The 13,062-nt window shown below is 41.6% G+C and overlaps 2 long non-coding RNA genes across 10 annotated transcripts in view, besides 2 other annotated features; one reads left to right on the top strand and one right to left on the bottom strand.

The window, feature by feature from the left end:
* The window catches only part of HEY2-AS1 (HEY2 antisense RNA 1), a 171,898-nt gene that overhangs the window by 33,475 nt on the left and 125,361 nt on the right, over positions 1 to 13,062 (top strand). The gene's annotated exons all lie outside the window — the stretch shown is intronic.
* Positions 1 to 13,062, bottom strand: part of LINC02523 (long intergenic non-protein coding RNA 2523) — a 45,866-nt gene that overhangs the window by 4,268 nt on the left and 28,536 nt on the right. The window lies entirely within an intron of this gene.
* Positions 7,762 to 8,307: an enhancer, noted in NCBI's record as "OCT4-NANOG-H3K27ac hESC enhancer chr6:126028790-126029335 (GRCh37/hg19 assembly coordinates)". NCBI's record gives its function as "activates a minimal SCP1, AML or CMV promoter by ChIP-STARR-seq in naive and primed H9 embryonic stem cells {active_cell/tissue: H9 hESC(naive and primed)}" and the evidence as "EXISTENCE:reporter gene assay evidence [ECO:0000049][PMID:30033119]".
* Positions 8,308 to 8,854: an enhancer, noted in NCBI's record as "OCT4-NANOG-H3K27ac hESC enhancer chr6:126028243-126028789 (GRCh37/hg19 assembly coordinates)". NCBI's record gives its function as "activates a minimal SCP1, AML or CMV promoter by ChIP-STARR-seq in naive and primed H9 embryonic stem cells {active_cell/tissue: H9 hESC(naive and primed)}" and the evidence as "EXISTENCE:reporter gene assay evidence [ECO:0000049][PMID:30033119]".

The raw sequence follows: 13,062 nt of genomic DNA, 5'->3' as shown, positions 1-13,062 counted from the left end.
AGATTTTCTACCTGTAAGTTTTTTTCTATAGTTTTTTTTACTGAATTGTTGCCAGCATAGTAAGGATCATTATTTCCTAGTTTAATTAGTTTCTATTGGCTATTCATTGTCATAAACCATAGTATAACAATAAAAAGGAAACATTTCAAAGTTATTACATGACAATAAAATTATAGTGAGACATGTACTCATGTATATATGGAACAAATACTCAGCATAAAGGAGAAAATTGGGTGAGATTTTTAGTATATTTTAATTTCAGAAGGTAGATATATCACATTAGAGTCCTCTTTTTTTATCTCATAATGGATAGAAACACTCAAAGGTGGCGCCACAGCATCAACTGTAAAATTGAAGCTGGACTCTTCCCCCATTCTCTGCTTTCACCTTTTGCCTACACTTAATAGCATTTTTGGAATTCAGCTCAGGATGCAAAAGGCAGATTCACCACATTGTACACTTTCAGAGTGCATTGATGTCACTTTTTTTTAAAGTTTCAGTTAATCATTATCTGTAAAATAAATGTAGGAGAATATTTGCCTCTATATAGGGAATGTTGAAAAAATAATTGTGGTGTTTGTTTTTAGAATTCTTTACTGGAAGGAAAAGAGATGAACCTGAAAAACATCTAAATAATTTGAATCTGGGATATAGTCTCACTAGCAAGAGAAAGTTTTAGCATTTAATCAAGTCACAGAGGAGTCAGTCTTTGGAGTAAATCAAGAGATAGTTCTGAAGGATCCAGATCAGGTAGTGAACTACAACAGGCCAGGGCAGTTGATGAAGTTCTAGAGAGAGAGAGACAGGGCTGGACTTCTTAGGGAGGAAGTTCTCAGGCAGGGAAGGGTTGGGCATCTAAGCAGGAATGATGAACCAGGTCCTTTAGACAGAGGTCAGCAGGCCCAGCTTCTGGGAGGCCAGTGCATCAGAAGACACCCAAGGTGAGTCACGAAAAGAAGACAGAAGTGATTTGTTCTTGGTCTCCTTCTGAACTCCTGGTATGTGGGTGGGCTAGGGCTCACAGGTGTCAGTAGCCAGGAGAGATAGGGCCTCACTCAGATCAGCTTTCAGTTTTCTGATATCCTCACCTCTGGTCTCAAGCTATTCAGCCAATATTGCATCTTTAATGGTTAAGCTTTGGGGCAGGTGGCTATTTGTAAGGCTACTAATTAGATAAAGGGACTGATTTGCACCAGGATGCAGATAATGCGTGGAATTGTGCCAGGACCCACAGCTCAGGAGTTTATGACCCCCTAGCTGCCATGGCAACCATGCCTATTCAGTTGGGGAAGTCTTTTTGTTGTGGGATAGGAGTCAGTGCATAGGGCACAGCATCAGCTTCTGTGGGGTGTGAAAATGAAAACTGAAAATGGAAGTGAAAGGACAAGAAGGCAGGAGGGCACTAGATTTTCCATTTATACCCAAATGGATAGATTGTTCTGTGGGTTTGCTTCTACTTGCTTGTCATAAAAATCAGGGCCTTTCCTTTCATGCAACTGTCTGATGAGCCTAATGTTTGGAAGGAAGCATGTTTTGTGAATCTTCTTTTTTTGGTACGGTCTTTACTGTTCACAGCTTCCACCTCAATGTCTTTGTTTTATTATGCTTCCTTTTATTTTTCCCAAATGTTTTGTTATGTTTACTAAGCAGAACATACTGTAATCAGCAAGCTTGAGACTCTAGAAAAATCTGAGATCCGTTTTAACATGTATAATATAACACAGCATTCTAGAGTTAGAATAGCTCTTGAATGACTTGAGAGATAGGTGGTCATATGCCCAGTTTATCTGGGACTGTCCTGTTGTCCTGGTACAATAATTAAGAGCTCTTTTCACTCTCAAAAGCAACCTGGTTGGTCAATGGTTATCCTACTAATATCCAGCTCTTTATAAATAAAGGCCCAGATTATTCTAAAATCTTGATAACCAAGCTGAGTCAGAACTCACTGAAACAGAGAGAACTATCAAGGAGTGGCATAAGAGAGGGTGACATGAACAGCTGTAGAATGTAGGCTGGATTGGGAAGAAAATAAAGCCAGAAAGTGATGAAAGATTGGGAGAAACAGGAGCAGGAGATGGAGAGACTGGACAAGGGATTCAAGAAAGAACAGGCAGATTAAAAGTCTGGGAAGTAGAGAACTGAAAGGATAGGAAATTGTGGTCAGAGACTGGGATGTTAGGTTTATGATTTCAGAGGTGGATCATGAACAATGTGGCCTGGGGTCACATAGTCCCCAGCAGGAAACAAATGATCCACTAAAAAAATAGCTGAAGAGAGCATTTTTTTTTTTGAGTTGTTTATAGAGGTGAGGGTAGGGCAAAACAAAAACTAATGATAAACCCAGAAAATCACAGTAATGGATGTGATTTTCAGGCCAAGTCATTTTTATCCCCTAGGCCTGAAGAATCAAGTAGAGAGAGTAGTGTTTTAGAACCTGGCAAGTGTGGTAGCTATGGGAAAGGGAGTGCTCCTAGGAGCTCTGGCCATAAATAGATGAATGCAGCTATTACTAAGACTTTGGCTAGAAAAGAACGTGTGGGGATGGGATCATTGGCTACTACCCTTGGACCTCCTGGTAGGGCCTTCTATTGGTTAAAACTAACTGGAAGGCAGAAAGAAGAAGAGAAGCATAAAGAACAGACCTGGGGTGAACAAAAAATAATCAGCACTTTGAAGAACTGTGAAAATAGGGTTGTAGCAATTGTCTGTAGATACTGTTTCTATCCAGAATTGAAATGGTTTGGCTGCGTCCCCACACAAATCTCATCTTTCAGTTCCCATAATCTCCACATGTCATGGGAGAAACACAACGGGAGGTAACTGAATCATGGGGGTGGTTTCCCCATGCTGTTCTCATGATAGCGAGTGAGTTCTCACGAGATCTGATGGTTTTATAAGCATCTGGCATTTTCTCTGTTGGCAGTCATTCTCTCTCCTGCCGCCCTGTGAACAGGTGCCTTCCACCATGATTGTAAGTTTCCTCAGGTCTCCCCAGCCATGCAGAACTGTAAGTCAATTAAACCTCTTTTCTTTATAAATTACCCAGTCTTGGGTATTTCTTCCTAGCAGCATGAGAATGGACTAATACAAGGATGATGGTGAGATATGGGGTGAAGAAAAGATATAATATTCTCTTCTATAAGTTTGTATATATTAATTGTTATTCTAAAGAACTATAATAAGTGATTTTTAGAAAAATGACCAGAAGGTAACCTAAGTCTAGAGTCTCATAAAAAAGTAAACTAGTTTTGGTGTTATCAGTATTCTGTATTTCTTTTATTTACAAATTATAAATTTTTGTATGGGCTGTTATAGAGTAACAGGGACTGGATATACATTCCATCATAAACAACTAGAAAACCAAGAATATATATGAAACTATGGTTTTCAAACATGGTCAGCAGATAGCTCGGGACAGTGCCCAAGACAAAGGAAACAAGGAGAACTCTATGATTTCTACAATTAACTGTTTGGGAGGGTATCTAGGCTGCAATCCAGGAAAGAAAACTCAAATAAGGCCTAGATAATTTGCTGAATTATCCAGAAGACAGATTTTGTAGTTCATGAAGGTCAAACTGGCTAGAAATTGCAGAACAAAATTAGAGAATTGAGTAAGAGAGTGAGAAGGAATTTCAGAGATTTGCAGAAGGGTTTCCTCAAGCATTTGATGGAATACTTTTCTGAGTATGCACAGAAGAAAATGATTCCAGGCTGAGGAAGGAATCGCTGCAAAGAACAGGTAGAACAATCTTGGAGCTTAGACAGTCTGGGAATAGTTCATGTTCCTACCAGCCACAGTGGAAAGATCTCCTGATACATGGGCATTAGATAAATTCCTTAGAAAGAGCCAGATTAACTCCTGAGTAAAATGGCTCTAGACCTATTCTAACATGTAATAAAAGCAAATATTGATAGAATCAAACTAATTCACTGTAACTAAACTGATTCACAGTAGCTGTCACAGAAAAAGCTTTACAATACTAAAAGAATATTTAAAAATCCAGCAACCAACAACATAATGTTTTCTAGGTCTGTCATGCAAACAAAAGATTATCAGACATTCAAAGAAACTGGAAAATGTGACTCATAAGGAGAAAATAAATCAATCATTAAAAACACACTCAGAAATCATGCAGAAGATAGACTTAGCAGATAAAGACACTAAAACTGCTATTATAAATATGCTCTATCTATTTAAAAAGATTAAGGATAATACAAATGCAATATGGAAAGAAATGGAAAATATAAAAACCCAAAAGTGGATTTTCTACAGTTGAAAGATAAAAAATTTGAAATAGAAAGTACAGTGGAAGTAATTACTGCATGTTAGACACCATAGAAGAAAAAAATTAGTGAACTCAAAGACATAATAAAGTCTATCCAAAATGAAGCACAGGAAGAAAAATGACTTTACAAAGTAAACAAAGCATTAGTCTCCCATGGAACACAGTATAAAAAAAAATTGAGCTATCCAACATAGGTGTAATTGGACTCCCAAATAACTGGATGACAGAACAATTATTTAAAGTAATAATTGCTAAAATCTCTCTACGTTTGCTGAAAACTGTAAATCATAGGTCTAAGAAGCTCAATGAATCTCAAGTAGAAGAAATATGAAGACAACCACACTAGGGCACATTATAATCACATTAAGTTACTCAAAACCAGCAATAAATCAAAATTATTAAAAGTCGTTTGTAGAAAAAAGACCTATTAAATACAGAAAAACAAAGATAAGCGTGACCACTAATTTATCATTGGAAACAATGCAAGCCAGGAGACAGTGGAGCAATGTCTTTAAATTGAAAGAAAAAATGGTCAACCCCAAATTCTTTGCCAGTGAAAAGATTACTCAAGAACACAATGATAAAGACTTTTTCAGACATACAAAGTTAAAAGAAGTTACTAACAGCAGATCTACACTACACTTGACGCCAGCACATCTTAGAGTCTCACTCAAGGCCCATACTGTGTACTACCTGGCTACCACTGTTGATTATTCAGGACCCAAGGACTCTTCAGTCAGCAGGTGATGAATCCTGCCAGGACTGGGTCTTTCCCCTTAAGGTAGCAGGTTACTTTCTGGCCCAGGGTGTGTCAGGAAATGTCATCTGGGAGCTAGGGCCTGAAATGGAGGCCTCAAGAGTCTACCCAGTGTGCTATCATAGTGCAGCTGAGCTGGTTTCCAAGTTCGAGACAAAGTCTTCTTTACTCTTCCCTCTCCTCTTTTAAACAGAAGGAAGGGATCTCTTTTGGAGCTGCAAGCTGCACTGCCTGGAGTTGGGAGAGGGGTGGCACAAACACTCCCTTAGCTGCCCCTGCTGGTGTCTCACTAGGTCATGTGCCCCCAAAGTCCACTGGCTCAAAGCCCAGCACAAGCACTAGGACTTGCCTAGGAGTTGCAGTCCTTTTGGCCTCAACTTCTTCCATGTTTATTAAGGACCTTAGAGCACTTTAGCCTGCAGTGGTGAGGCTTGCTGAAACTCAAGTTTTGACTGCTGGGATGCGTGATTCCCCTCTGTCTAGGGCTGGTTTAAATGTTCCCTCTGTGGGCACCAGTTGAGTTCTGCATGGTATTGGCAGCACTGTGTACCAATGAAAAGTCCCACAATTCCTGCGTTCTCCCTCCCCAAGCAGTCAGATTCTCTCTCTGCAACATGCAACTGCTGCTGAGGGTTGGGAGAGGGGCAGTGTCAGTGATTCAAGACTGCCTTTCCTACCCTCTTCAGTGCCTTTTTCAGCAATATGAAGTTAAAACCAAGTACTGTGAGCACTCATTTGAGTTTTGGTTCTCATGAAAGTGTCTTTTTTTGTGTGTGTAGATTGTTATTAAATTTTGTGTTCCTGTGGGGAGGAGGATCAGTGGAGGCTTCTATTCAGCCAATTTGCTCCACCTCCTCTCAATGTGATGTTTTGATCTATGTATAAACTATTGAAAGATTGAATCAAGCTAATTAACATGTCCATCAACTTATTTTTTTTGTGGTGAGAATGGTAAACATCTATTTTAGCAATTTTGAAATATGCATTACATTATTATTAACTGTAGTCACCATGCAGTGCAATAGATCACTAAAACTTACTTCTCCACTCTAACTGAAACTTTGTACCCTTTGATCAACATCTTTTCTTTCCCCATCCTCCCTTCCCCTGAGCCTCTGGTAACCACCTTTCAGTTCTGTTTTGATGAGATCTCATATGTGGAATCTAAAAAAATTGATCACATTGCAATTTATACTAGTTGTATTTCATTGCTCCATAGCCACATGTGGCTAGTGACTATCATATTGTACAATTTAGGTCTAAATACTCCAATTAAAAGTCAAAGATTGTCATTGAATTAAGAGAAGCAAAACTTAATTTTGTGCTGAAAGCCACTTTATATGAAGACACAGATAGGATAAAAGTAAAGGGATGATGGAAACATTCTATATTATGATAATGATAGTGGTTACATGACTATACATTTGTCATACTTAATTGAATTATTCACTTAAAATTGGTGAATTTTATTATATTTAAATTGTACTTCAATAAAGGCAGAGTAAATAAGAAAATTTTGAGCTACAATTGATGTCTTATAAGTTAGCTTTCAAAAATTGTATGAGTATATACACTCATTTAAAGTCAAACAGAACAAAGGGTATAAAATGAAAAGCAAAAGTTGTTTTCCCTTCAAGTTTCCACTTCTTATTCATATTACTTAGTATCACTCAACAGACATAATTTCTTATGTAAATTTCCAAAAGTCTTTAATGTACAGTATAAACAAACATTGATCAGGTATGCCTATGCTTTAAAAGTTTTCTTTTCTCTTTTTTTCTTTTTATCCAAGTAGACTCATATTCTATGACTAAAAAAAAACCATGGACACTGGAAAGTCAGGTTTACTTTCTTTTTTCTTCTTATTGGCTGCATATTCTTCTATTGCATTGATTATTCTAATTGATTTAGGCACTCCTATACTGTGAGATATTCAGATTTCTTCTACGTTCTGCTAAAATAAAAAATGTTACAATAGATACTCATTGGCAGATATTTTTCATATCTTGTGCTTGCTCTTTAAGATAGATTCCTAGCCAAGGACTTGTGGGGCCATTGTTTATATAAATTAGAAATTTTGATGAATGTAGTCAAGCTGCGTTTCTGAAAACTTATTCTCTCCAACAATACCGGTTTATACATATTCATGCTGATTTGGGGAATTATCAGACATTTTAATCTTCACCAATCTGAAAGGTAAGAAAATGCTACCTCCTTGTTTTTCACTAAATTGTGACATTTTCCTTGCAATAAAATAGGATAGAACTGTTAGGACTGTCTTTGATAACCAGTAGACTTCAGAATGGATATATCTGCCTCCTAGAACCCCTAACTTCTGATGAAGACCTAAATGATTTCTACAGCTGCTGAGATAAATCATCTTCTTTTTTTTCTTTTTTAGGAATCTATCTTCTTTTCCTTTCATGGTCATATTGCAGTATGTTTTCTGTATAGATCTACCACTTTAGAGCTTACAGAAGTAGAATATGTATTCACATGTATCTTGGAGTTTATGCTTTTAGTCTCTTCCTTTAAATAGTTTTGCCCTCCCCAGTGTTTCCTTCCCCCATGGGTATTTAATCATGTATACGACAAACCAGCACTACATGTGATTCTCCTAGTAATGCCATATGGTTTCCCTGAATGGGAATAGATGGAGGAATTTATTGACTTTGATCATCGCACTATAACAAATACAATTATGGCACAGGAAACTTCCTACTTTAGTTCAAGAGAAAATGGTGTAACCCCCTCCTTTGGATGATTTGTGTGTCTGAATGAATCAGGAGGTTTTCTCCAGATCCCATCCTCTTTCATACGCAATCATTGAGATGACATGTCCATATGCATTACTAGTGAAGGAGTTCTCTCCACCCCCACCTTGCCAATCAAATAATCACTGCTTAAAACAGAGGGAATGATTTAGCAGTTGAAGTGTTGGCTTTGAAACACTTAGACTTGGTGGCATCTTTTAAAGTTTCATCAGGATTGACTTAGTCCCTCATCCTGGGAATATCACAACCACATGGAACCCTAAGTCATTGCAGAAGAGCTGTTTTTGTAAGAAACCCCAAACCTGGAGGCCCCATTTTCTCTGAGATTGTTGAACATACAAAGCATGTGTTTGTGAATTGTGGCCTTAACTGTCAGGCCTCTGAGCCCAAGCCAAGCCATCACATCCCCTGTGACTTGCACGTATATACGCCCAGATGGCCTGAAGTAACTGAAGAATCACAAAAGAAGTGAATATGTCCTGCCTCACCTTAACTGATGACATTCCACCACAAAAGAAGTGTAAATGGCCGGTCCTTGCCTTAAGTGATGACATTACCTTGTGAAAGTCCTTTTCCTGGCTCATCCTGGCTCAAAAAGCACCCCCACTGAGCACCTTGCGACCCCCACTCCTGCCCGCCAGAGAACCCCCCTTTGACTGTAATTTTCCTTTACCTACCCAAATCCTATAAAACGGCCCCACCCCTATCTCCCTTCGCTGACTCTCTTTTCGGACTCAGCCTGCCTGCACCCAGGTGAAATAAACAGCCATGTTGCTCACACAAAGCCTGTTTGGTGGTATCTTCACACGGACGCGCATGAAATTTGGTGCCGTGACTTGGATCGGGGGACCTCCCTTGGGAGATCAATCCCCTGTCCTCCTGTTCTTTGCTCCGTGAGAAAGATCCACCTACGACCTCAGGTCCTCAGACCCACCAGCCCAAGGAACATCTCACCAATTTTAAATCAGGTAAGCGGCCTCTTCTTACTCTCCTCTCCAACCTCTCTCACTGTCCCTCAACCACTTTCTCCTTTCCACTCTTCAATCTCTCCCTTCTCTTAATTTCAATTCCTTTCATTTTCTGGGAGAGACAAAGGAGACACATTTTATCCATGGACCCAAAACTCCGGTGCCAGTCACGGACTGGGAAGGCAGCTTTCCCTTGGTGTTTAATCATTGCAGGGACACCTCTCTGATTATACACCCACGTTTCAAGAGTGTCAGACCACGCAGGGACGCCTGCCTTGGTCCTTCACCCTTATCGGCAAGTCCCACTTTTCTGGGGAAGGGGCAAGTACCTCAACCCCTTCTCTCCTTGTCCCTACCCCTTCTCTGCTTTTCCGGGGACAGGGCAAGTACCCCAACCCCTTCTCTCCTTGTCTCTACCCTTCTCTGCTTTTCTGGGAGAGGGGCAAGTACCCCTCAACCCCTTCTCCTTCACTGTTAGCGGCAAGTCCCGCTTTTCTGGGAGAGGGGCAAGTACCCCTCAACCCCTTCTCCTTCACTCTTAGTGGCAAGTCCCGCTTTTCTAGAGGAGGGGCAAGTACCCCAACCTCATATCTCTGTGCCCCAATCCCTTATTTCCGTGCCCCGACCTCTTATCTCTGTGCCCCAATCCCTTATTTCCGTGCCCCGACCCCTTATTTCTGCGCCCCATCCCTTATTTCCATGCCCCAACCTCTTATCTCTGCACCCCAACCCCTTTTCCCACTTTTCTGGAAGGTAAGAACCCCCAAACCCCTTCCCTTCGTTTCTCTACTCTCCCTTTTCTCTAGGCTTGCTTCCTTCACTATGGGCAACCTTCTACCCTCCATTCCTCCTTCTACTCCCTTGGCCTGTGTTCTCAAAAACTTAAAACCTCTTTAACTCACACCTGACCTAAAACCTAAATGCCTTATTTTCTTCTGCAATACCACTTGACCCTGATACAAACTCGACAGTAGTTCCAAATAGCCAGAAAATTGAACTTTGAATTTTTCCATCCTGCAAAATCTAAATAATTCTTGTCGTAAAATAGGCAAACAGTCTGAGGTGCCTGACGTCCAGGCATTCTTTTACATATCAGTCCCTTCCTAGTCTCTGGGCCCAGTGCAACTCATCCCAAATCTTCCTTCTTTCCCTCCCACCTGTCCCCTCAGTACCAACCCCAAGCGTCACTGAGTCTTTCTAATCTTCCTTTTCTACAGACCCATCTGACCTCTCCCTTCCTCCCCAGGCTGCTCCTCGCCAGGCCGAGCTAGGTCCCAATTCTTCCTCAGCCTCTGCTCCTCCACCCTATAATCTTTTTATCACCTCCCCTCCTCACACCTGGTCCGGCTTACAGTTTCGTTCCGTGACTAGCCCTCCCCCTCCCGCCCAGCAATTTACTCTTAAAAAGGTGGCTGGAGCTAAAGGCATAGTCAAGGTTAATGCTCCTTTTTCTTTATCCCAAATCAGATAGCGTTTAGGCTCTTTTTCATCAAATATAAAAATCCAGCCCAGTTCATGACTTGTTTGGCAGCAACCCTGAGACACTTTACAGCCCTAGACCCTAAAAGGTCAAAAGGCCGTCTTATTCTCAAAATACATTTTATTACCCAATCTGCTCCTGACATTAAATAAAACTCCAAAAATTAAATTCCGGCCCTCAAACCCCACAACAGGATTTAATTAACCTCGCCTTCAAGGTGTACAATAATAGAAAAAAGTTGCAATTCCTTGCCTCCACTGTGAGACAAACCCCAGCCACATCTCTAGCACACAAGAACTTCCAAACGCCTGAATCACAGCGGCCAGGCATTCCTCCAGAACCTCCTCCCCCAGGAGCTTGCTACATGTGCCAGAAATCTGGCCACTGGGCCAAGGAATGCCCGTAGCCCGGGATTCCTCCTAAGCCGCATCCCATCTGTGTGGGACCCCACTGAAAATCGGACGGTTCAACTCACCTGGCAGCCACTTCCAGAGCCCCTGGAACTCTGGCCCAAGGCTCTCTGACTGACTCCTTCCCAGATCTTCTTGGCTTAGTGGCTGAAGACTGACACTGCCCGATCGCCTCGGAAGCTCCCTAGACCATCACGGACGCCGAGCTTCGGGTAACTCTCACAGTGGAAGGTAAGCCCGTCCCCTTCTTAATCAATACGGAGGCTACCCACTCCACATTACCTTCTTTTCAAGGGCCTGCTTCCCTTGCCTCCATAACTGTTGTGGGTATTGACGGCCAGGCTTCTAAACCTCTTAAAACTCCCCAACTCTGGTGCCAACTTAGACAATACTCTTTTAAGCACTCCTTTTTAGTTATCCCCACCTGCCCAGTTCCCTTATTAGGCTGAGACACTTTAAATTATCTGCTTCCCTGACTATTCCTGGACTACAGCTATATCTCATTGCCGCCCTTCTTCCCAATCCAAAGCCTCCTTTGCATCCTCCTCTTGTATCCCCCAACCTTAACCCACAAGTATAAGATACCTCTACTCCCTCCTTGGTGACCAATCATGCATCCCTTACCATTTCATTAAAACCTAATCACCCTTACCCCACTCAACACCAATATTCCACCCCACAGCACGCTTTAAAAAGATTAAAGCCTGTTATCACTCGCCTGCTACAGCATGGCCTTTTAAAGCCTATAAACTCTCCTTACAATTCCCCCATTTTACCTGTCCTAAAACCAGACAAGCCTTACAAGTTAGTTCAGGATCTGCGCCTTATCAACCAAATTGTTTTGCCTATCCACCCCGTGGTGCCAAACCCATATACTCTCCTATCCTCAATACCTGCCTCTACAACCTATTATTCTGTTCTAGATCTCAAACATGCTTTCTTTACTATTCCTTTGCACCCTTAATCCCAGCCTCTCTTTGCTTTCACTTGGACTGACCCTGACACCCATCAAGCTCAGCAAATTACCTAGGCTGTACTGCTGCAAAGCTTCACAGACAGCCCCCATTACTTCAATCAAGCCCAAATTTCTTCCTCATCTGTTACCTATCTCGGCATAATTCTCATAAAAACACACGTGCTCTCCCTGCCAATCATGTCTGACTGATCTCTCAAACTCCAGCACCTCCTACAAAACAACAACTTCTTTCCTTCCTAGGCATGGTTAGTGCGGTCAGAATTCTTACACAAGAGCCAGGACCACACCCTGTAGCCTTTCTGTCCAAACAACTTGACCTTACTGTTTTAGCCTAGCCCTCATGTCTCCGTGCAGCGGCTACCACTGCTTTAATACTTTTAGAGGCCCTCAAAATCACAAACTATGGTCAACTCACTCTCTACAGTTCTCATAACTTCCAAAATCTATTTTCTTCCTCATACCTGACGCATATACTTTCTGCTCCCCGGCTCCTTCAGCTGTAGTCACTCTTTAAGTCCCACAATTACCATTGTTCCTGGCCCGGACTTCAATCTGGCCTCCCACATTATTCCTGATACCGCACCTGACCCCCATGACTGTATCTCTCTGATCCACCTGATATTCACCCCATTTCCCCATATTTCCTTCTTTCCTGTTCCTCACCCTGATCACGCTTGATTTATTGATGGCGGTTCCACCAGGCCTAATCGCCACACACCAGCAAAGGCAGGCTATGCTATAGTACAAGCCACTAGCCCGCCTCTTAGAACCTCTCATTTCCTTTCCATCGTGGAAATCTATCCTCAAGGAAATAACTTCTCAGTGTTCCATCTGCTATTCTACTACTCCTCAGGGATTATTCAGGCCCCCTCCCTTCCCTACACATCAAGCTCGAGGATTTGCCCCACCCAGGACTGGCAAATTAGCTTTACTCAACATGCCCTGAGTCAGATAACTAAAATACCTCTTAGTCTAGGTAGATACTTTCACTGGATAGGTAGAGGCCTTTCCTACAGGGTCTGAGAAGGCCACCGCAGTCATTTCTTCCCTTCTGTCAGACATAATTCCTCAGTTTAGCCTTCCCACCTCGATGCAGTCTGATAACAGACCAGCCTTTATTAGTCAAATCAGCCAAGCAGTTTTTCAGGCTCTTAGTATTCAGTGAAACCTTTATATCCCTTACGTTCCTCCATCTTCAAGAAAAGTAGAATGGACTAAAGGTCTTTTAAAAACACACCTCACCAAGCTCAGCCACCAACTTAAAAAGGACTGGACAATACTTTTACCACTTTCCCTTCTCAGAATTCAGGCCTGTTTTCAGAATGCTACAGGGTACAGCCCATTTAAGCTCCTGTATAGACGCTCCTTTTTATTAGGCCCCAGTCTCATTCCAGACACCAGACCAACTTAG

Source organism: Homo sapiens, chromosome 6 (genome assembly GCF_000001405.40).
Source record: "Homo sapiens chromosome 6, GRCh38.p14 Primary Assembly".
Classification (NCBI taxonomy): Eukaryota; Metazoa; Chordata; class Mammalia; order Primates; family Hominidae; genus Homo; species Homo sapiens.
This window is presented reverse-complemented; position numbering and strand designations above follow the sequence as displayed.